This window comes from Homo sapiens, chromosome 8, assembly GCF_000001405.40.
Source record: "Homo sapiens chromosome 8, GRCh38.p14 Primary Assembly".
Taxonomy (NCBI): Eukaryota; Metazoa; Chordata; class Mammalia; order Primates; family Hominidae; genus Homo; species Homo sapiens.
In genome coordinates this window covers 113,172,589-113,198,284 of record NC_000008.11, presented here as the reverse complement: position 1 = coordinate 113,198,284, position 25,696 = coordinate 113,172,589, and the positions used below count along the sequence as shown (strand labels likewise).

General features: G+C 33.6%; 1 protein-coding gene across 9 annotated transcripts in view; it reads left to right on the top strand.

Moving 5' to 3' along the window:
* CSMD3 (CUB and Sushi multiple domains 3) overlaps window positions 1–25,696 on the top strand; it is a 1,214,012-nt gene that overhangs the window by 238,655 nt on the left and 949,661 nt on the right. For all 9 annotated transcript variants that reach the window (NM_001363185.1, XM_017013010.2, NM_052900.3 and 6 more), the window contains one exon: window positions 24,369–24,563. In NM_001363185.1, coding sequence (NP_001350114.1) covers window positions 24,369–24,563 — 195 coding nt within the window. The remainder of the gene's footprint in view (window positions 1–24,368; window positions 24,564–25,696) is intronic.

Here is a 25,696-nt window from a genome sequence, read left to right as displayed (position 1 = left end):
GATTATGATATGAAGTAATCCACGTGTGGAAGTTATTATCTCCAGTTTACATATACAAAAGTTGGAGCTGATGAACATGAAGGATCTTGCTGAAGGTCAGCCAAGCTAATAAAAAGCAAAGCTAGAATAGAAATCAATTTTGGTACCAACTTGAATTCCACATGGGTAACCACTGCACAATAACTTGAAGTTTGCATTAATCTTTTTAGATGTATTACAGAAATAAATAGGTATTCATGTATGATTATCCCAACATTAATTGGTTTATTTTTACTATTTTTATACAATAGGAACAACTACATTTATAAAGATTGTATATGCTTCTCAAATATAGTTAGTTACATGACACCAGTGCTGAATCCTCTTATGGTAAGCATTTTATATAAAACATTCTCTCCATTTAGTTCTGTCCACCTAGAACAATGTTGTGCTATCTAATAAACAGATAATTAAAGACATTGTTGAATATATAAAATAAATTATATTGAACTATTAAGATTGTCATAAAATGATTATATGATGTTTACAATTATTATTGACAGAAAAATGATGTATAAAATATTCTGTACTATAAGATCGTTTTAAAATGTGTATTTTCTATAGAAAAGCTTGGAGATAAGCACATCCTGCTAATTATCTCTGCATGGCATAATAATGTTCACTTGTTCATAATTTATTATAAAGTTTTTCTACAGTAAATATACATTACTTTTATAAGTGGACTCAACATCATTACAGTAATAATAATATATACATATAAGATTTGGCACCAAATAATAACCAAACTAACTTTTTAACATGGCTTAACTCTTCACAAATGTTTATCCCCTGCATTTGTTGATTGGATCCCCATGGGACCACTGTCTAGTACAGAACTGTTTTGGATTTTTTTTTGGAGTATTTGCATAACATAATGAAATGTCTTGGTGATGTGGCCCAAGTCTAAACATGAAATTTATGTTTTTATATGTGTGTTATATATATATATAGGCTGAAGGCAATTCTATACAGTATTTTCAATAATTTTGTACATGAAACAAAGTTTTGACTGTGACATATCACATGAAGTCAGACATAGAATGTCCCACTTGTAGCATCTTGTCTACACTCACAATATCCTGGGTTTTGAAGAATTTTGAATTTCAGGTTTTTGGATTAGTAATGCTCAGCCTGTATATGAGGTAGATATTATTATCACTCTATTTAATCAGTGAATGTTTATTGAACACTTTTTATGTCCTGTACTCTGGGCTAAAATACAAAAATGGACAAAGTAGACATAGACCATGCCTTAATAAAACAAGTAAGAAAATTGTTCCACAGAGGGGTTAAGTACTTACCTGAGATTGCACAAACAGAATGTCAGGGCTTGAGATACTTTTAAAATCACTTTACTACAAGTTTTAAGAACACGCTTAGACAAACCAGTAGAGTAAGAAATAATTATATGAGAAAAGTGAATTTAAATCATAGGTGTCATTAATGCCAGGAAGATTTCAGTCTTTCTGCAATGGGAAATAAAACGCCATGATAAATTTCTAAGTGTGAAAGGTACTTTAATTGACTGATAGGAAATAATTAGTTTACCACTTGTTCAAGACTTTTTTTTCTCTAGTTGAAGAAGTCTCCTTCTGTCGTCTCTAGTCTTCTCCTGCTCTCTGTTCCAATTCAGCCTTGATTCTCTTTTCATAATTACATTTAAAAAATAAAATCCTCGTCATGCTCTTTAACTTTTGTGAAAGTGTTTCATGTGCTGTTCTGACTGTGGGCTAAAATCTAAGGTAATCAACAATGTTTACAAGGTTCTTTACAATCTGGCCCCAAAATGTCTTTAAAGCTTTGTGTCCATTTGTCTATATAACAGTATCTTCTAAAGTCTATTCACCCCAATCTGCCCACCTTTCCCAAATAAGTCATGTGTATTCATACCTCTGGCTTTGCAAAATGTCCCTTCTTCTGAATAGTCTTTCATTCCATCTTTACCCAGTGAGTTTTTATGCATAATTGAAGAGCCAAATCAAATATATTTTTTCAGTTTTCCAGTAGAATGACTTTTTTTCTTTTTCTTGTGGCCCCATGACTCTATAAAAAGAAAAAAATAAGAGGAGTACAAAAAACATTTGCAGACAAATAGCTAATAGCTTAAGAGAGAAAAGACAAAAAGAAGCTATCATGCAAGAGAAAAATTAGATAAGTATCTCGTGGAGTGAGAAAGGGACTGAAGTTTCCGCCCAATATTTATTAGAGAATGACATTTCCTAATAAATTAACTGAAGGCATTTGGCAAGGATGACACCTTTCCTCATACCATAAGTTGTCCTCTAATATCTGTATGAGAAGGATGTACAACTTATCCTCTGAGAGGAAGTGAAGGCAAAAAGGTGGATATGGATTTGTTCCCAAACCCTTAACACTGAGCACTATATATGCATGTGTGTGTGGGGGTGTGTGTGTGTGTGTGTGTGTGTGTATATATATATATATATATATATAAAATATAGGATATGAATATTATATATATGTATCCAAGTAAAAGTTAAATAGATAGAGATATAGTTATAGATATGAATAGTAAATACCTATCTATATATTTATGTAACTTTTACGCACCATTAGGTTCTTTCTCATCATGATGGTGGGAAATGCAGTCTGTTGTACATTAGAGAATCCTCCTCTTTCATTTATCCAGAATCCCCAAAATTAGAGTTAACAGATTTAGCAAATAAAAATACAGAGCATTCCTGCAATACTTGAGATATACTTATATTAAATATTTACTTATCTGAAATTCATGTTTAACTGGACTTGTATTTTCTCTGGCATTCCTACTCAATAAAGAAAATCATAATCATCACAGAGATGATTATTTTTCCTAGCCTACCAATTCCATTTGAAGGCTCAGTTTCAAAACACCTTTTTTCTGACTTGTAATACCAAGGGTTCTAGATCTCAGCTCTTTCAATAGTCTGCTTCTGTTCCAGAGACTTCAACATCACATGTATTTCCTGAAATACAAAGGTCGTTAACAAGCACCTGAAGCTTGAAAAAAAAAAAAAAAGCTTGGAATAGGGTAATGGGCAGTGTCATGGGAAATCGTTTTCAGTAGTGAGTGTTTTTTGTAAGAAAGAAAGGAAAAAAATAGCTCAATCACTTGCTTTTGCAGATATAATATAAAAGACAATATAAGGACAACCATTAAATGTCTTTGATCTCTTGATGTCAGTGAAGTAGAGGCACAATGAATGACCTGTAATTGAGTGTGGGGACTAGAACAGTGTAAGAGAAGTAGATGGAAGAGATCAGGGGCAATTGAAGATGGAGGAAGGTTCTGTAACCTATGCCAACACTTTAATGAAATATGTAGTAAGTTGCCAAGACTTTAACGAAATACATAGTAAATATCTTTCTTGGCTCAGTTAAACAATGTGAAAGCTACTTGTTTGTAAGCTAGGTATAGGCCACTGTGAAAGATTATAGCAGGATTAAGATTATGGAGGCCTATTAAAATTTACTGCATCAATATTAACTATTATGTTTGAGGGGTTTTTTCGAAAAATTTAAAAAACTTTACTTTTTAGGTCAATTTTTGTTTCATAGCAAAATTGAGCAGAAAATACAGAAAGTTTTCATCTCCTTCGCCTACACACTCACGTGTTCCCCCAGGATTAGCATTCTGTATCAGAATGATACATTTGTTACTATCAATAAATTTATATTGACAAATCATTATCATTCAAAGCCTATAGATTACCTTAGAGTTTACTCTTGGTGTCATACATTCTCCAGCTTTTGACAAATGTACAATATATATCTACCATCATAGTTTCCTATAAAATAGGTTTTACTGGTCTAAAAATCCTCTGTGCTCTAGCTATTCATTCCTTTCTCCTCTCTTTTTTAACTTCACTTATTTGTTTGTTGAGTACACTCTGTGTGTTATATTAACAATTGAAACAAATCAATTGATCAATCATTTCAGAAATACATGGTATTACTGACAACTACATTTAGTTACATATTATAGCAATGCATCTTGTATATTTCACTATGTAGTTTTGTCTATAATTACAGAGTAATTAAGTTTTTAGTATAATAACTTAAAGGCAGCATGGCAGTGTCCCCTACTGTTTTATCACGTTAAACACCTGCAGATGTGAACATGTTTAAAATAATGTTATATTTTGGTATAGGTTTTTTTCCCCCAAAGAAAATTGGTTCCTGATTCAACAAAGTTTTATATTTTTTCCATTTATGGAAATTAAGTCCTTCAATTCTACAATATTCATGTTGCTTTTTATTGTTTAGACACATAGTGTGTACACTGAAGTAAATTTAAATAAAAATGAGTCTTATTTGCAGGCATATTCAATACATTTGCTAAATAATAACTCCAAATCTTCTAAAATATTGTCTATGTACACATTTATAAATATTTCATACTTATTCATAAACAAGATTGCATATGTCACAAGAAATAATTCTTTTAGATTTAAGATTACATAGAGGTTTTAAAGTCGGTAACCTACTGCACAGTATACTTAATGTGATGTCCACATCATAGTTTATTTATGCAATTTCCAATGAATGTGTAAGTCATAGATGTGGAATTTTGTGTTTAGATAAAAGAGGAAACACGTGGTCTATTACTCTCTCCTGAAACCCATCTCAAACATTAAATTGTTTTTAAATGGTATGAATGCATAAGAATATAGATAATGGGAGATAATTAAAATCAAACAGTACTTTGGAAGCTGGTAATCAGATGAAGCAGTAGTAACAGAGAGAAGTCATTAGAAGGTTGAATCTTAAGTCACTAGTAGGAAAAGCTAAGAAGCAATCTAGTTTATATCTCAGAATTCCTGGAAGTCTAATGAATTGGTGGCATTAAGAACCTCTAAAAGAGGCAGTGAAAGTCATGCTTAAAGCAGGAAGATTGCTTGAAAATTCAATTAAGAAGCAATAAGAGGACCAAAAACATGCAACTAGGCATCTTCCCATTTTCTACCTCAGCTAAATATTGGAGGTCTTGTCTCTGAATGTGGTAAAACAGTCTCTGAATAGTAGGTCTCAGATACAATTGAAAAGAGAGGCACAATACGAATACGAGATGGAATAAGTGAGTGTTTCCATGCAAAATATTGACACATGCTCCACACACATTTTTCACTACTTAACTCAGAAAGCTGCAGCTAGGTCTGTATTCCCTAAGCAGGTGATGGAGAATTCTTTTACTTTGAGTATAAGCAGTTCAATAGGAAAGAAATGCTGTTATAATGGGTCTCTTAACAAAGCAATCAAGACAATCACTACACAGTAAAGTACAAATGTATCAAATGCCACACTTGTACTCAGAACATTTATTCAGCGTTTTACTTAACTACTTAGAAATAGCAAACAAAAATCATCTGATTTCTGAAGAAGTTCTCTAGCATAGAAGCTAAAGTCCAAAACAAACAGAATCGAAAAATTTGAAAGAAAAAGGAGGACTATAAGAACAGAAGAAAACTTCTAAAATGAACAAACAAACCTAATGTAACTGTTCTCTAAAATATATAAAACTTGAACATGATTTTCTATAGAAATAAGAACAAAAGAAAGCTCTTGGCTATAAAAAATATATGTATATGAAATACTCGATAGGGTTTAAATGTAACATTAAAGAAAACTTCCATAAGGGAGAGAAAAAAGTCAGAGATATAGGAAATAGAAATAAGAGAAAAAGTGGTAGCAGCAGCAGTAGTCATTTAAGTCCAGAAAAGTGTTCAAATAATAGGCATTTTTGAAAGGTAAATTAGTAACATTAAGGGGAGAAATTAGCTAAACAAATAGCTTTTTTATAAAGCAGAGGACAAGAATTTCCATACTGAAAGGAAATTCCATATCGAAAGAAAATTGAAAGGGTGCTAGACCCAGCAAGCATCTAGAACAATTTAGGAAAATAATGCCTTCATTGTCAAATATAAAAAAAACAACAACTGTGAACTGTAAGAAGATACATAGATTTTTAGCAACAGAAATAAGTAGCTCAAATTCAAAGTGCCAGAATTCAGAATGGCTTTGGTTTTCAAAACATCAACATTAGCACAGGGCCTTGCCTTCCAAATCCTAATGTACATGGTTTCCAAACTATGAATCTGAAAAAAATTGAATATCCAAATCTCTCAGGAAGTTAAACACATCAACAAGCAAAAAAACAATCCAATTAAAATAGGCAAAAGACACAGACACTTCTCAAAAGAAGATAGAGAAGTGGCAAACAAACATGAAAAAATGCTCATTATCACTAATCATCAAAGAAATGCAAATCAAAACCACAATGAGATACCATCTTACACCAGTCAGAATGACAATTATTAAAAAGTCAAGAAATAACAGATGCTGGCAAGGCTGTGGAGAAAAAGGGAACACATGCATTGGAGGGAATGCAAACTAGCTCAGCCACTGTGGAAAGTATTTTGGAGAGTTCTCAAAGAACTTAGAACTACCATTTGACCCAGCAATCTTATTACTGGGTATATACCCAAAGGAAAATAAATCAGTATACCAAAAAACACATGCACTCACATGTTCATTGCAGCACTATTCACAATAGGAAAGACATGGAATCAGCCTAGGTGCCCATCAACACCAGACCGGATAAAGAAAATGTGATACATAGACACCAAGGACTACTATGCAGTCATAAAATTAATGAAATCATGTTTTGTTTTGTTTTTTTTTTGGCAACAACATGGAGATGAAGCTGGAGGCCATTATCCTAAGCAAATTAACATGGGAACAGAAAACCAAACATCACATGTTCTCACTTATAATTGGGAGCCAAACACTGAATAGACGTGGATATAAAGATGGAAATAATAGACACGGGGGACTTCTGGACCTGGGAAGGAAAGAGGGAAGATGTGGGCCGAAAAACTGCCTATTGGGTATTGTGTCAGTACCTGGGTGATAGAATCGTTGTACCTCAAACAGCAGTATCACACAATATGCCCGTGTAACAAACCTGCACATTTACCCTCTGAATCCAGCATAAAAGTTGAAAAACATTTCTATACCCATAGAAACTATCATGGAATTTGAGAATGGTATGAACATGTATGCCCACGTGCATTATTTATCTCTTAAACATCCATTCTCTGGAAGTTCCTGGTGTTTCTCTGTAACAAAGAAAGAGAACATTGAAAGATACAGAAAAGAAAATATCCAACTAAGAAGAAAGTTGAATCTAATATCAAGAACACTTTCTAGTAATAGAAACAAATGTCCAGATGGAGAAGATTAAAGTGCTCTGAAAATTTTTCTTTAAGGAATTGAAGTTAAATGCCTAAAACATTTAAATGTATTAGAAAGAGATTTAAACAATTGGCAGAGTTTAAAGTTGTGGTTACACTCAATATGAAATAAATGAAAAATAAAAGACAGGAAATTGTTAATGTCATGGAAAACAAACATTTAGGAAACAAAAGTATTCCTAACAATGAATACCTTTGCTAAGAACAGCATTCGCAAAGTTGTGATGTTAACATTCACTGTTTCAACAAAAATCATAGGAAGAGTAAGTCGCAGGGGATCAAAGTTTGGGATGATAAAAAAAAAAAACCAGAGTAAATCTTTCTTTTCCACCATAAGGAAATAATTTATAATGCTAAAAACATCGTCATAGACATATGTTTTAAGAGGCAGAGGTAGAGATCAGTTAAAAGGGTTGAAAAGATACTTACAATGGCTTCAAAGTCTAACCCTCTGGCTTTGTTTTGGCATTCTGTTTTCATTTCATCTCAGTCTTTCCCTCAGTTATTCCATTCCCAAATGGACTCTTGCCATTCCATCAACTCTCCATGCATTCTGTGCTTCAAGGTCATTGCATTTGCAGTTCTCGTTTCCTGAAATGTTTTCTCAGACTTTCCACTACCCTTCCTTACTTTATATTTCTCTTTAACATTTATTATTATCTAATAATACAGTGGTAAATATTACATGCATTATTGTATTTATTATCTGGGTTTCCTCTCCACCACCTGCTCACAAGTTTACCTCACAGGCTCTGTGAGAAAAGGAGTATATATTGTTCAATGTTGTATCTTTGAAGACCAATTTTTAGCGTTCAGTAGGTGTTTAATAAATAAGTGAACATTAGATAGTATTATTTGGTTGGTGCAAAAGTAATTGTGTTTTTTGCTATTACTTTCAATGTCAGAAAGTACAATTACTTTTGCACCAACCTAATAAGTAAATAAATGAATAAAAAAAAATTATAAATTTATAACACATGAAGAGTCATTTCTAAAAGCTTATAATGGCAAAATAAAAGAATACATATTATTTTAAAGGCTAAAATAAAGATTTAATTATGTTTTTAAAGCACATGAATTCTTTACATTTCAATAAAATATTTCCAAACTATATTATCCCAGAAAACAAAACATGATTGCAAAAAGGAAGCAGTCTATAATTATTGATGTTCTCCTGTGTGAGTTCATGTGACTTGCTCTGATTTTTCAACAGGAAAAGTTAGAGAAGAAGAGTTCTGAAGTATGAGCTATTTTTCCTTTCTGACATTTCTTGCAAGATTCCATTTCATTAATAGTTTTATTATGCAGAACTCAGTTATTGTCATTCAGAAACAGTTTGGAGATATATACCATTATAGACTTTGCATGCATAAATAAGCATATTATTAATAATCAATGGCAATTAGCACACAATACATTTCCTCTTAAATTTAATTATATGCTTGATTAAGAGTGTTTTCATACTTAATTGAAATAAGAAAGTCCAGTAATACTTAATTCTCACTTAAATTCATATTACAATCCTAATAACTCCAGTTCTCACTCAATCCATGCAAAATTCCTATTAATTTTAATCAGAAGTATGCTTGCTCACTGAATAAAGCCTGAAATACAGTTGGATAGGTCACATCAGGAAAAATTGTCTGCAGTCTGACAGTATAGAATGAGGAAAGAGTCTAATGCAAGCAATCAAACAGAGAGATAATTGTCATAATTGGTTTCAATTAGGTTTTTATAGCTTTGGTGAAGCAATTCTCATTGTATTGTATCATGAACTACAACCAGTAACAAAACTAGTTAGCATGATTAGTAGGTATAATGCTTAAAAAGGTAAAATACATTCTAAATGTTAAGATCTCAGTAAAGATAAATGAACTGAATAACAATGTAACTGCTTCGTTGGGAAACCTTTGCCATTGTTAAATGTAATGTGGTTTGAATGGAATGAAATCAGACATATTCAATAAACTCAAGGTTCATAAATACATATTTTCTGAGGAAAATGAGTCTGTGCCCAAATGATCACCTTTTCAGTATGAACCAGTGACCATTAAATAAAGATTAGAATGTGATGATATTAAGAAACTCACAACATAGTTAAAATCAGTGAGTTCCTATTAATTTGTTTAAGTAACCCAAATAAATCTCAGTAATGATGATGGTACTCAAAAAGAAATTGAAGTATCAATAGTCTCACTTCCACATGCTTATGGTAAATGGCAGAGATAGGATTCGAAGGCAGGTTTATTTGATTTTATTAATGGAAGCTTTATCACTATATTTCATTGTCTAATGTTAAGGTCAGCTGCAACAAGGCAAACCAACTGGAACAAGCCCTTCTACTTGTTTTTAATTTTCTCCCATACTTTTAGAATTATCCCTGTAGGGAGGAAAGGTTGAGCATTACTCTAGAAGGGCAAAATAATCAAGATTTATTGTACTCCTTGTCATCCAAGAAACTCTTATGGCCGTGGTTCCCAATTGCACACTATTACTGCTTGTATAAGGATTATTGTACTTGGCTTCAATCCAGAATTCAATTATTCCCCCAAGGGGATTGAGTTTCCAAAGAGATTTGAAATAATTTGAGATTTCTCATATTTTCCTATCTCCCCAATTTTTCTTTGAATTAAAACAATTCTTTAACCAAATAAATATCTGGAGCTTAGTATATCTGAGTTGAAGAGTGACCATTTTAAAGATGCGCATTAAAAGTATAATATCTGACTTGATTATGGTCACAAGTCAATTGAATAGACAGAGCATTTACAAATTAAAGAAACATGTAGAATTCAAAGAAACAATAAAAGGCAAAATAATATGTTTAAAGACTTTTGAGCAAGTGGTCAATAAATATAATAGAAAATAAAAACTATTGCTTCCTGTGTGAAGGTAATCACCGTGGACTGAAGAGTTTGGAAAGGCTTTATGGAGAAGGTGGGAATTGGTTTAGATCTTGAAGAATGGAAATATCTGGATAGGCAAAGAAAAAATGTGGAGATATTTCAAATAGTGTAAGCAAACCTGTGAAGCAAGAATACATGAAACATATTGATAAGCAGTGAATATTTGACAGAAATAGAGCATGTGGCTAGGCAAGCGTAAGGCAATTTTGGAGAAGTATAAAGGGGTAGGATTGTGTAGGATCATGATCATCAGGTGAGAAATTGGACTTCCTTTTATGGACACAGAAGAATTGTGTAGGACAGTTTAAAGGGTAGTTAACCTTTAAACTGAAATAGGATGAAGGGGAGTTACCTACATATTAGGTGGGGTGATTGAATAAATTCTACTAATCTCCATTTCACTCTCTTTCTCTTTTTTAAAATGTTAGAGAAAAACAAAAGGCAAAACTCAACCACATTTCTGAGACTCTCTTGTCAATGTGAATCAAACATGTACACTCATATAAAAATGAAACACGAAATTTATGCACACAATTTTCCTGAAGACTCTGCCTGTTGGTTTCATTATCAGGGTTGTAATTTAACTACAGAAGTTTCCAGTATTTTCCAGCTTTAAGTGAATAAAACAGAGTGGTCATATTTGTCACCTCTTGTTACAACTCCTTGATCCTTGAATTACAATTTTAGGTGATTTTTTTTCCAGTCTCTTTTCACTGTTCTGAGGTTGGTGATGAGGTGACAGTGACTCTATGTAAACTTTACTCCAGTGGTGATCTCAGGGTAGCAGTCCCCTTGATGTAGAAATTTGCTCCTTAGTTCAGCTAAAACTGGATTCGCATCACATGACCAAGAAGGATTAGGAATGCAGACACATTGAAAGGTGAGGGGAATGGAATTTACTGGGTGAAAAAGGAAAAGAAGAAGAAGAAGAAGAAGAAAAAAAAAAACTCCCAGCAAAGTGAAAGGGGTTCCTGCTAACAGCCCCCCGCCCACCTCACAGACAGAATCTCATATTCATGAGAATAAATATTGTATATAACTGATATCCCCCTAAACAGAAGGTATGTAAATCCACCCTTCCACCAATATTAATTGAAAATCCCCAATGGGAACCAGTTATATTGTCCAAGCATGCATGGTGTAGAGTAGAAGCTGGAGTGCTGGTAGGGACAAATTCTTCATTTTCTAGCCCTCTGTAGAGTGTTTACTCGGACTCATGGCAAAAGCTCATGAACTTCTCCCAGCAACAACTACGAGGACTTGGGACTAGAAATTTTTCACCTGAGGGGCATTTCCTGCCTTGCTGTGGAACGTTAAATAAAGCTATCCATGTGACCACAGGGTGTAAAATGATCTTGACACCTGAAATACTGTGCTAAGTAATGTCAGGGAACACTCTAATTGTGTAGCAGTGCCCCGAAGAGTTCCATAATAAAATGGAAATGGTTTATACAGGGTCGTTCTACCTGGAGAAGGCAAGGAGGGGACAATCACTAGCAGGGAGCCTCTTTTCCACAAGAGCTGATCCTGGAACTGTGTGAGGAGCTGCTGGGTTCTATTGACAATGGGAAAGCGTCCTATAAACGGCTCTCAATTGACCAACAAAGGGTTGCTTGGTTTATAGACGGTGGTTCAAAGGTAAATGTACAACATCCTGTTTGAAAGGCTGCTACTTTGACTAAACAAGGTAAAAGTAAATCAGCTTGGTGGGCTGAATTACATGTTGTTTTTCCATCAGTGATGGAAAAATTGAATGGTGGTAGAACCTTCTCTGTGAGTTTTTACTGACTTGTGGGTAGTGGCCAATGACCTGGCCATATGGTCAGGGAGGAGGGCAATAGAAACCTATCTTATTAAAAGGATGCCCACATAGGGCACAGCCCTATGGAAATTTGAGCTCACATTAAGTAGAACATGTTGATGGCCATGCAGAACCCTTTTCCATGCATGGAAGGTGACTGGAATTGACAAGCAAATATCCCGGAGTGCTCTCCTGAGGGCTAATTTGGTCCATGAAATGAGTGGATACAGGAGTGCTGAATCTGATCAGGCTCCTTTTATACCTTCTCAGGCACATAATGTCAATAAGAATGGTTTTGTGTGCCAGCAGGAGAGACAGAGGGTGCTGACAGATACGGGGCAGATTCCCTGGTGGGAAGTCCTGAACATAGCTTGCAAGTGAGACAGATGCTGGAATCCCTGGGAAGATACGAATGGGTCTTTGTAGGAATAGACACTGATTATGGACTGGGTTTTGCTTGTCCTGTGAAAGATACAAATGCCCCGAGTGCTGTTACAACACACATATACACGCACGCGTGCACATGCACACACACACGCATGCACACATGCATGCACACACACACACCAAAATATACAGATTTGGACATCTGACTTTCATTTCTTCAGACCAAGAAACATACTCTACAGCCCATCATTTTCAACAATGGGCAAAGATATATCCTCCTCAGAGAAAGTTTAATAGAAAAGTGGAATGGACATTAAAACATTGGTTGTCTAAAACAGGGGGAGATGAAAGCATGAAGGGCTGGCTTACACACCTTCATGGACGTGTGCTAATACTCAACATGAGTGGGACTAAAGGAGTGTCCTCACTAGATTTTCCTCAGTTTTTCTGGTTGATCTGGGAAAGAGGGATGGGGAAGGATACTGGTATGACTATGTGATTATTGCCAAAGGAGGAGTAAGCCAGTATAATGATTATACGATTATGCTTCTTTCCTTTTCTTTCTTCCCACATCACCTCAACTTTTTTTTCTCCTTTCCTTACTTGGTAAGTGGTCCTAGGACCAGGACTGCAACTACAAGTGATCGAAACAAGAATGATTTCTAAAAGAAAAAACAAACACACAAAAAAGAACCTTCTGCCATAATTCTTAAGTGCCTGATGGGGGTGGGTTGTGCCTTTACAATCTGGCAAAATTTGAGTTAACAGTGAATGCAGCCTATATTGCCTGGTGTTAAAAATGGCCCTATAGTTCTGACCTATGTAACCATACCCTAAGTAAGTGTTGGAATGAACTGCTGGGGAAGCACGTGCTACCCACTAGTGTTGCTGCCTGCAATCTAGACCAGCACAGTGATGATTCTAACGTCCCTTCCAAAGGTGAAAAAAGTTTGGACATTGATGGAAAAAAGGAGAAAGAGTAACTGGAAGGTTATGGAATAAATGAATGGGTTGTAAATTGAGAAAAACCTAATATTAGTTAACACCTTGAAGGAGATTCAGAGCTAGAGAAGACATTGTTTCTTAGCTGAATTATGCCAGATGTCTGACAGGGTGAAGCTATAGGTTTGTGGAGACCACATCTGCTTTCGGAAGCTGATAAGATTGAACGAAAGCCTGCACCTGAGTGGCCTCAGTCTAGCAGACATTCATACAATATGATAGACTAAGCTATTTATTAATGATGAACTGGAGTTCTAGTGATTTGGCCATACGTTTTGAGTTGTATGTCTTTTTGATGTAAGGGATCTGAGTTCAAAGACTGGGGTGGACTCCAATATTGTGAAATATATATTTTATCTTTGGCCTCATTTTTTTGGCATACAACTCCTAAAATCCTTAGAAACTCCAAAGTGATGCTAATAAATTGATTGATGGTTGGCAGGTTCTAGAAAGCTTCAAGGTTGAGGCTGGCCACCCAAAAGACCAAGACAGGAGTAGAGGATTGAGATTTTCGGCCTTCAAGGAGGGGAGAGGGTCTAAAGGTTAAGTTGATTACCAATGACTATTGGTTTCATCAGTCATGCCTCTTTAATAAAGCCTCCATAAACACCTCAAAAGAATGGGGCATGAAGTGCTTCCAGATAGCTAAACATCTGGAGCTTCCTGAAGGGTGGCACTTCCAGGGAGGGAATGAAAGCTCTGTAACCCTTTCCATACCTCACCTTATGCATCTCTTCATCTGTATCCTGTGTAATATCTTCTGTAATAAACTGGTAAACGTAAGCAAGTGAATCCTTAAGTTCTGTGAGTCTCCCTAGTGAAAACTCCACTGGAAGATTGTCAGGCAAAGGTTCCAGAGGCCCAGACTTTTGCCTGGTGCCTGGGGGGTCAGTCTTGGGGATTAAGCCCTCAACCTATGAGATCTGATACTATTGCCAGGTAGACAATGTCAGAATTGAATTGGAGGACACCCAATTGTTGTCCACTGCAAAAATTGATTGCTTGCTTCGTGGTCAGAGAAGTTTTCTGTGCCCATTGTTTTAGTGTCGGAGTAGAGGAAAAACACAGTTTGATTTGGCTTTTACACACACAAGAACCCATTACCCTGATTTGATCATTACACACTGCATGTATATAGTATCAAAATATCACATGTACCCCCAAAATGTAAACAAGTAAGACATTATATATAAAACAGAGAAGAGCTCAGGCATAAATTGGCCATTTTCAAGAAGAGAGTGAATAGAGTCTAAATTCTGGGGACTTACGGGTTGGAGAAACCAACTGCTTCTGTATAGCAGGGGATAAGAAGGTTTATCAGAATCTCATATAAGTTTCTTAGTCTAAGGATGGAAGGCAGCCTTGGGGCCAAAGATCAGGTAAGGAATGTTGCATTTCCGTCCAAGCTTATTGTTTCAGATCACCTCAAGGTAGCTCCAATGAAAAGGCAGTGTAAGCCATGGTTTGAACAAGTTGGGGGTTGGGAAGAGTGTTCCTTGGCACCAAAAAAAACCTGGAATCAAATAAATTAATTCCTAGTAAGTTTTCAGGGGTGGTTTTAGCCAAATAAATTATATGAGTCATCTGCAAAACTCTGGTTGTCAATCCCCAAGTCAATTTTCAAGCACCAAACCTGCATTAGCAGAGGTAGGGTATAAGCTCAAAGCACTCCTAAAGATAGTTTACTCTTCAACACCCACTTCAAATTTTACCACAGAGAATGTGGACAAGAAAGAACTATTCAGAAGAAAATGCCAGGGGACTACAGGATGCAGGAGAAAGGAGCACCTCCTAGAGAACAGGACCAGGGTCTGCCAGGGCAGTAAGTGCTTCAGAATCTCTGTCCGGCAGGATCTATGCATGGCCATGCTCTTTAACTGTGGAATATTCCTCTTTATTTGCCTACCCACATGGGGTTATGTATTGTAACCATCTGTTTTCTGCTCCACCAGGTCTCTGTTCCATGAGGAACTATAGTGGGCCTTGATAGAAAAACGATAACAACAACAACAACAACAACAACAGCAACAACAAAACTGCTGTGCATCTCCCAGAGAAGTTTGTTGCTGTTGTTGTTTCTTTCCCTTAACATCTTCTCATTCAACTCAGTAGCCTCTAATTCAATATTTGCAGCAACCCAGCTTCTCCTTATAGACAAAGGACAAAGGCAATGCCCTAGGGGAGGATTGAGTAGCAAGTTGGAAAACAAACTGAGTCCCTGATGGCCTGAGGGCACAGTCCAGTCTCTCCTAGCCTAGAGCAATGAGAGAGTCACATGAAGGGAAATAACTGGTATCTTATTTAAGCAATTCGTTGTGAGTTTTTTTTGTTTTTGTTTTTGTTGTTTTTTTGTTTTTGTTGTTTTGTTTTTTTTTTTGGCAGCATCAGCAGCAGCTTAGCATTGACCCTAAAACAGCTAATTTCAAGTCTTTCCAAAGTGCAACCCTAAGATTATTTTCTGAAGTTACATTCTGTGTTTCCTTATATGTATCAACCTATTCAGACCAACGTATTAAAAGCAACTTATTCTGCATATACTGCTCTTGACTACATCTTGGACATTCCTCTCTATGGGTCTTAGTCATATGATTTATTTGACTCTTCTGAATCCTCTCCAACTAAAAACTTACTTATCTCATTTCATAAAATAGTCTTCCTTTAGCATATGTATATAATAGTTAAAATTGTTTTTTAAAAATCAGCTTATGGAATCAGTTTTATTTTTTAATTTCCAGGTCATTACCATGTATGTCTTATTTTTCCAACTTGAGTTATGTTTCAACAAGATAGAAATGGTGTCATGCCATATTTTATACTCATTTGACATTTGTGCCTCGGGCTTCAATAATTATTTGGTGATGGATTAACTGCTAAAATACAGTGGCATTTCTCAGTCTTCATATTTGTTGAATATATAATTCCAGTAAATTATCCATGATCGGCTTAACACATCTTTTTAAAGAATTAAATTACCTTTATCCAAAAGTCTTAATACAGATACTTGTCCCAATTCTGTCAGAGGAGAGCCTATTCATATTTTTCTATTATTCTGAATTAATCTATCAAATGCTACTCTGTGCTAAATGCAACATTATTCCATGTTCAGAAACTTTAATGTGAGTATGGCTGCTAATATGCCTCCTTTTTGTATTTGTATTTCTTTGGTTTTGGTAATATTCTGGTAGTTATGTACAACAGAGTTAGCTTCGAATAATCATAACTTTTTATATTTCATGATCCTTTCACCCAACTATGTTAACACAATGGTGGTTATAGAGTTTACAAAACAAAAATATAATATCGTTTTTGTAAATTCATTTTGGGTGATAAAATTTATTTAGCCAATAAAAGGGCACAGATATTTCCAATTGAATGGGCATTACCTCTTATTCATGGGTCAACATAACTAATGACTTGTCCTTGTATATGGTGCAAAGTATTTTCTACCTTGTATTTAACCATAAATCTACATCTGATGCTGAAATATTTTTCTGTAGTGCCAGTGGACCTTATCTGTATCCACAATATGAAAACAGAATGACATTACCAACATAGCATAAATGTGTATGTGTTTGGTTTTACACTAACTTTTCCAATGCTTCATACTTTCTTTCCTTGGAAATATATGCATCTTACCCTGAGACTTATCTAAATATTTTTTTAAAATGACAATAGACTTTTCTCCTACTGCTTATAATACATTTTAATCAGTGTTCATTCCTCCCTAAAATCAATCCAATAATCTATTTTCCTCTTAGGCAGCCCAGCTAAGACAGTACTGTCTTGCTCTTATTTCTTTTCTAGCAACCAGTAATTTATTTGGGTTCCCTTTCAATAAGTTAAAATAATAACAAATAATGATAATAATAATAATAACAAATAACATATAATAGTTGTCCTTTTGATTAGCAACTCTGAACCTTTTTGAAGTTTCAGGATGACTTCCAAAACGGCAAATGCGGCCTCATGTTTGCAACATCTCCAGCATCCCAGTGAGGTCTGTGACATGACTCCAGCTTAGAAATTATGCTTATGGAAAGGAAATGGCTTACAGAAGTGAATGGATTTTCACATAGAAACAGAATTGAATCACATAACTATGTAATTTGACTCATACAAAATCACATGGTGGCAATGTGATCCAGTGCTTATTAAAACAAGTTTAAATCATGCTATTCCTGCAACTCTCTTCTATACTACAGATTCCACTCTATTATTTTGTATTTAAACATTTAATTCTATGAGATCTGTGTGATAATTAACTTTTAAATTTTTCTACTCAAGGAGGTAATGCAATTAGTTTAATTCTTTTTTGCTTGGGGACAACACAGTGTGCTAAATTCTTGGTATACAAAGATGAATTAGAGTCCCTCTTCTCAAGATGCTCAAAATCTGGTGAGGAAGTAAATGTATATAGAAATAAATTTCATTCAGTTTTATGTACTGAAAGAAAAGACCATGAGGACGTTATAGATGCAATAGGTGATTCAAAACACTCATAAAATGTTTGCTCAAACTGAAGTCCCCAGGTAAATTCCAAACTATACCATTTATGTCCTGTGTGAATGAAATGGTTCAATATTTGTAATAAAGAACATTTTGTATCACTAAAAAATTTGGAAAATGGATTTGTTTGTTAAGTGTTTGGAAGTCTCAGGATGAGAGGTACTAGGTGCAAAACGTTTTGTTTCAGCTTGATGTTATGCTCTCCTAAATTATTTTTAATCATCTGGGAAATAAACCCTGAGATTAATTTTCTCTAAGAAGTACAAACAACTTGATTTTACTTCCCTTAGTAGATATAATTTTGCATTGTTTTAAAGCATTGTTAATTGATCTCAGCAGGATCATGCTTCATCTATTTGACTGAATAATTATGCAATTCTGTAGTCAAGATGTCTGTTATCCCTTTTTTAAATTTTTCATTCCCATTTTCAAGGTAAGGTTTTCTTCCTGATAATTTGTAAAACATTTTGCCTTTCGCAACTATACATGTGCTCCCAACAAATTGGGTATTTTTTTTAAAGAATGAGACTGTTGTAACATGTTTATTAGTATTAATCACACACTTTTTTTTAAAAATTTCTTGGTAGAGTTTTATTTCATTTATCCAAGGAAACCATAACAAAAATTTTGTTCTCCTATAGTCCTTTATATATGCTCTCTTTCAAGATTTAAATTGCATTTTAAACTTACTTATTTTCCTTTTGAAAATTATCTGGATTTTTTAGCCTGCAATTCATTGAATATATCTTTTGGTAACTACTGTGCTTGGAATGGTGCTTAATATATGATACCAAATAATAGACAAAAGAATGAAGAAATCAATGACACCTATAGGGGACTTTCTGTGAATTTGTTTATACAAATTTTCTGCTGAAAGTTAAGATTGGACCTTGGATTTCCTTTATGATTCGGAGAGGAGCAATTGAATTTTACCCTTGACTAAATTACTATTTTTAAATTAATTTTTAAGACCAAGAATGATCTAACATACTTCATTACATTTAATGAAAATTTGATACTTATGACACAACCTCTAGAAGATCATAATATAATCACATCTAATTTTGATGTCTCAAATACACAATTTATAATAATAATAAAACTGCAATTTATTGAGTTAATAATATTTGTCTCATATTGAGTGCTTGCTAAAAATATACATGACTAACATATACTGTTTTATGTAATAATATCAACAGTCTTATAAAATTGGTATTCTCATATTAAAATAATATGCATACATCATTTTGGCTACTAATTTTTTTAAAATTAATTTTGATAATCCGTTTTATCACAATTTTCCCACTCAACATTGAATTAGTATTAAATTAGTAAACTTACACACTTTATATCATGCATGCTTATGAAAATCTCTGCTCACTTGTACATTTATAGAATGTATTTTAATTATTTACTCTCAATTACTCTTTTAAAAAGCAGATAGCACCCCACGACCAAATATTTAATGAGGAAATAGTTCTCCTTCATATTTATGAGCCTATGAAAAGGATATACATCACTGCGTGAAGCCATCTATGATCAAGCCTTTCGAAATATTTTTTCGCAATCTAGTTTCTACACTACCCTACCATTTCCATGAAACCTGTCTTCATTGTATTGCCAAACCTAATAACTATTACAGTACTTTGATTCTTATACTTTTCTATTTCAAATATACTTGTTCACTGCCCTTGGAAACAAACAAACAAAAACTAACTTTTTATCCTTTTCAGATCACAATTAAAGCCTTTCTTTATCAGGAAATCCTTTCCAGATCTCCTCTTAATCAATACTAATTCAGATTTCTCCATTATATGCCTTTAGTATAACTTACATGTTTCGTTTCTGCCACATGTCGCAATACAATTAGTATTCTGTAAATTACTCATTTATTACTTTTGGTAGCCACCAAATCATAAACTCCATGTCTACCTTTTGCTAGACTATATCCCCAGAGCATTGCTGATGATAGATGTTTAATAAATACTTGTGGAATGAATATCTGCCTTTTGTAGATAGCAATATGTAATTGTGAAATGATCTAAGGCTTTTGAGTTAGGAAACCTAGGTTTGAACCACAAGTCTGCTATTTATTAGTGGGTGGCCTTTGGAAAGTTACTTAATCTTTCTGAGTCTCAGTTTTCCTTTCTACACAATGGGGAGAATTATACCCATAATGTCTAGTGTTTTGTGAGATTTAAGTGGAAGAATGCCCAAATGCCTATCAAAGCTGATACTCAACAATGAAGTTTGACTTTCTCAAACTGTTAACTCAGAAGGCAAGGGACATGCTGTAGTATTAACTAGTACATATCATAGAGCAATGTTAGTGGTAACTCTTAAAAGCTTCTGATGAATAAAATAGTGTCAGTGTCACTTACCAAGTAATTGATCTTTTCTTTCAACTAATAGAGAAGAGTGTCACTGAACTCTACCCCTTTAAACACAACTGGAATTTTAAAAGTTTATCTTGTATATTTTCCAAGGAATTATTTTGCAATATCAAAAATCTTCTACACTTTAGAATAGTCTATGTTGTCAAAATATCTTCATATTTGCTGATAATCTCAATACTGTGAGAAGAGAAGATAAATAAAATATACATATTTCCAGCCAAAACCAGATGGATTTTAATTAGACTAAATAATTTGTTATGCCTAGAGCAGTAAACTTAACATAAAGAGTCTCTGACATTTTCAGAGACATATTTTGAGTACAAATTCTTCAGGTTTATTTTCCAGTGATCTCAGTTCATCAACCTGCCCGCTCTAAGTGCTCAACCAAGAATATTGTGTAATTGGTTTTAAAGTACTGCCTCCCCTACTGCAATCCCATTTTAATCATTGTATTATGGGACGTTAGAAGACAATTTTTCAGATTCTATAATTATTTTGTGTTAGTCACCTAAACCTCTTAATCAATATATTACTGTCATCTGCTGGTAAAAGAAGATAACTGAAGTCTTTTCAGCAACTCTGCTTTCAGGTATAATAATTTGCTTCAAAAACACATTGAGATAACAAGTATAATGTGTCTAGCTTGCATGTACATCTGATGAATTACAAAAAAATTCTTCATTATACTTATAAATCTGTTTTCCTTAATTTATATATTTTAAGCAACATCATCACTTACTGTAAATACAACATACATTTAATAATTATTTTATATTTTGCAACTCTGCTTTTAGGTATAATTATTTGCTTCAAAACACATTGAGATAACAAGTATAATGTGTCTAGCTTGCATGTACATCTGATGAATTACAAAAAAGTTCTTCACTTATAAATCTGTATTTTTCACTTCACTTCACTTATAAATCTGTATATATTTAAATATATAAAATCTGTAATTTTATGTATTTTAAGCAATATCATCACTTACTGTAAATACTTACAACATATATTTAATAATTATTTTATATTTTGATATATTGAACATGGTTGAGTAATTCATTTTCTTTTCTTTTTTAAACATACTTTATTTTTTTTTTTAAGTTTGGGTATATGTCCAGGATGTGCAGGTTTGTTACATAGGTAAAAGTGTGCCATGATGGTTTGCTGCACATAACAACCCATCACCTAGATATTGAGCCCAGCATGCATTAGCTCTTTTCCCTAATACTCTATCCACCCCCGCCCTCCCAGTGTTGTTGTTCCCCTCCCTGTGTCCATGTGTTCTCATTTTTCAGCTCCCACTTATAATTGAGAATATGTGGTGTTTGGTTTTCTGTTCTGAAATTCAAACTCTGGATGGCTGGCAGAAACATTATCTAAAATCTAGTCTATCTTAGCAATTTCTAAAACTTTTTATTACTTAAAAGTAAATTTAATTCAAAAGTTTAAATATGCAGCACTACTTAGTTTTAAAACATTAAGAGTAAGAAGAGAATGTTCAATCAGAACATAATCTTTTTTGATGGTGGGTTTTGTACTTCAGTTAGTGACACATCATACTTGCTTTGCCTTTGAAAATGCACATAGACAGCATAGAGAGAAGTCCTGAATTAAAGGGTTGGAAGAAGACAAAAATATAATCCATGAGCAGTGGTTATAGAATCAGGATTGATTAAACCTGAATGTAAAACATCTTAACTGTCTTTATGAATTACTCAGTTAACAGAGGATGATGGGTAGATATTTCTCTATATGAAGATGATAAACAGGCACAAACAACAGCAGGACTTTCCTGAAAGTGAAGTCCAGATATGCTTTAAAATTGTCTTCTTTGAGTTTCATTTTGAAATAACCTAAATTTTTATCAGTTTTAGAAGTAATTAAGCGATAAGGCAGGAGATTAGGTAATCTATTAAGATTCCATTCAATGTTACTATTCATTCACTACTTCACCTGACATGATTTCCATTTTGCTTTAGGTACTTTATTCTGGATACATTTATTTGTTCATTTAAATCAAAGTTAATTTGGAGTCCAAAAACTATTCAGAGCTTTCTTCTCTTTCATTTTATTCCCCCACCTAGTTGCTTCCTGTGACATAATTTGGAAACCACTTTTCTCCTAGACATATAACTTTATGATAATTGAAGTCCTGACCTTAATTATTTTTTAGAGGGTGGAAGGAAGAGGAGTGGATTAATTCTAAGGCCAAAAGTGGTAGTTTCATTAAAAGTATCTCCTTTGTTATTACTATATTCAGAGGATTGAATTCTTATTCATTTTGTCAAAACTTATTAACCTCACTGTCTCTTGGAACAAACATCTCATCTATTAATCAAATAATTTTCCAAAAAATTAAGTATTTCAAAATAAACTACTGTTCAAAGTGTTTCTTTAAAAGTTGCTCAAAATTCACAGACAATAAAGTTGTATTGTTTTACTGAAAATTCACATATAGCTAATGTCTTGGAGAAATAACAAAATAAAAAATTAGAAATAACTTTCATTACTGACACTAAATATTTTACAAATTTAAGTTTAGAATGTATTATTAAGAAAATTGTCTATTGAAACCATTTATGTTTAGTAAATATTAGCCAATTTCTTCACTTTTCTAGTTTTAAGAAACCTAAAACTACATTTTTAAAACTCAAAGTAAATATTTTTTCTCTAAAATATATGGATGTCCTGTGCTCAATACATTTTTCTTGATTAAATTGACCTCATACTGGAAATTAATCTGTGATTTTTCTTTTACTTGCTTTGAAAAGTTTAGGCAAAAAATTAATGAAAGTTTAAAAAACACTCTCAAAATTAAGCTATATATTGTGAACCATTTTGTATTTTAATATTTTTGCTTAATATTGACATCGATATTTTAATTATTACAATGGTTTGTAATTATTTGAATTAACATTGTAATATTATATAGAATTTAGTAACTGCACAAATGAAATAAATATCAAAGCAAAATGGGAAAATATTTTACTTTTTATTGCAACATGACTTTCAGCTTATTATTTTGCAAGAACAGTAGTTCCCATATAGTCTTAATTAGTTTCCCTTGATATAACTACTTATGGAACTGCAGTAAAATGGCCAAAACTAAGAAATTAATGTTTGCACAATACTATTAACTACTGACTTTACTCAAATTGGAATATCTTTTAGTTCATTAATTACTGTTTGTGTTTTTATTATTATTTGTAGTATAAAGGTAATATAACAGTAATAAAATAAAAATTTAGAAAACAATATGAGAACAAATAACCTCTAATATTTTTAATCCTGAAGTTCTGCTATTTTCAAAAAAATTTTTTCATTTAATCTAAAGTTGGATTTTTTCTGAATTGAATATTATTTAAAAAACTCTTATGTTTGTATACTTGTTTAGTTTTCAGCATCAACTAATAGAATAAGAAGGTGATAGGTAAAACATTCTGATATATCATTTTCCATATATTTTGCCTATTGATCTAATTAAAATGTTACAACTGTTTGCACTTATTATTATCATTCGTAGTATACACTCAAGGTTAATAACAAATAATAGAGTTGGAATTCTAGCTCACCGTCCCTAACTTTAAAAATTGTCCATTTACTACTCCACTGTATTTTTCTCATTTAAATGAAATAAAGGTTTCCATGAAAAATGTGTATTTTATCTAGGTTCATGGTTTAAGATTAAGCACTGAAGGACTGAAGATAATATTAAGGAAATGAATTTGCTTATTACTATGTTATTAGAATGTAACTTTGAAAAAGCCATGTGAATGATATTATCCTCAGTTTTACTTATCTGAGTAAATATTAATATATGAGTAATGCTCTGAAGACTAAGTAATATAATATCTAAAACTTTCTAGCATAAAGAATGACCAATAATACCTCTGTGATAAGGTTTAGTTTTCTTCCCATATTCACTGTCACATGTATTGGAATAGAAGACAGTTCCTTTCAGTGACTCTTCTCCAAAGAAATAAGAATATCCATATCTACATATATAATTTTATACATCTAAAACAATAAACTGCTTATTGAAATAACTGTAAACTCTCCTTTTCCTCCTTTTTAATAGAATTGCAGAGTAGCTCTTGTGGAAATCCTGGTGTTCCACCCAAAGGTGTATTATATGGCACAAGATTCGACGTCGGGGACAAGATCCGCTACAGCTGTGTAACTGGATACATCCTTGATGGCCACCCTCAGCTCACCTGCATAGCCAATTCAGTTAATACAGCTTCGTGGGATTTTCCTGTTCCTATCTGTAGAGGTAAAATGAAAACACTTTAAAAATGAGAGTTGTTATCAGCCAGTGTATTTGAAAAATGTGTTTGGTGCCTGTTTCTTCTACGGAATCTAAAGGATAGAGAGGCCAGGCATGGTGACTCACGCCTGTAATCCCAGCACTTTGGGAGGCTGAGGTGAGTGGATCACTTGAGGTCAGGAGTTTGAGACCAGCCTGGCCAATATAGTGAAGCCCCATCTTTACTAAAAATACAAAAATTGGCCATGTGTGGTAGTGGACGCCTGTAGTCCCAGCTACTCAGGAGGCTGAGGCAGGAGTGTTGCTTGAACCCAGAAGGTGGAGGCTGCAGTGAGCTGAGATCGCGCCACTGCACCCCAGCCTAGGCAACAGAGCAAGACTCTGTCTCAAAAAACAAAACAAAACAAAAACCTAAAGGATAAATAGTCTCATATACTACATGAAAAGGAGAGAAAAATACTAAATTCTAGTATTGACTAGTATCTCTTTCACATTGCTTGTGAAATTAGGTAGTAAATTATATATCTCTATATGCATAGTTATGCATGCATTGTGTATTTATATGCTTTCATATTTATATTTAAAACATGGAGTTTATGATTAGAAATTTAATTAGGCTGTCAAAATTGTTTTGCTTTAAGAAATATTGACTGAGTCTAAATCTTTCTGATAGACGACAGCATGGAAATTTTCGAAATTAATTATGCTGCATTTGTTTACTATCAATACTATTAAGATTATTTGTATCATGGGGAAAACACAATAATATAATAATGTGGACAAAGGTTCAAAATACAGAGCTTGGGAAACAGAACGTGTTCAACATTAGCTAAGCACATGGATGGATTTTTCTTACAAAAATTCTGGAGGCCAACATTGTGTTTCCTCTGGGCTTCTTTTTTTCCTTAGTAAGCATATGCTTCTGTAATTCCTCCATGACTGGGATGTGGGAATGTCCAACTGCCCATCTAAATTACTTTGTAGCTTCCTCCCAAACATGTCACTGCAAATACATGCACCACAACCTCCTGGTAATTAGACACAACAAGCTTCTTATCCCAGCTTTGTCAATTGCCATGTGAGTTACCTCAGGAAAATCAGTTCAACAATTTGAGTCTCATTTACCTCATTTAACTAAT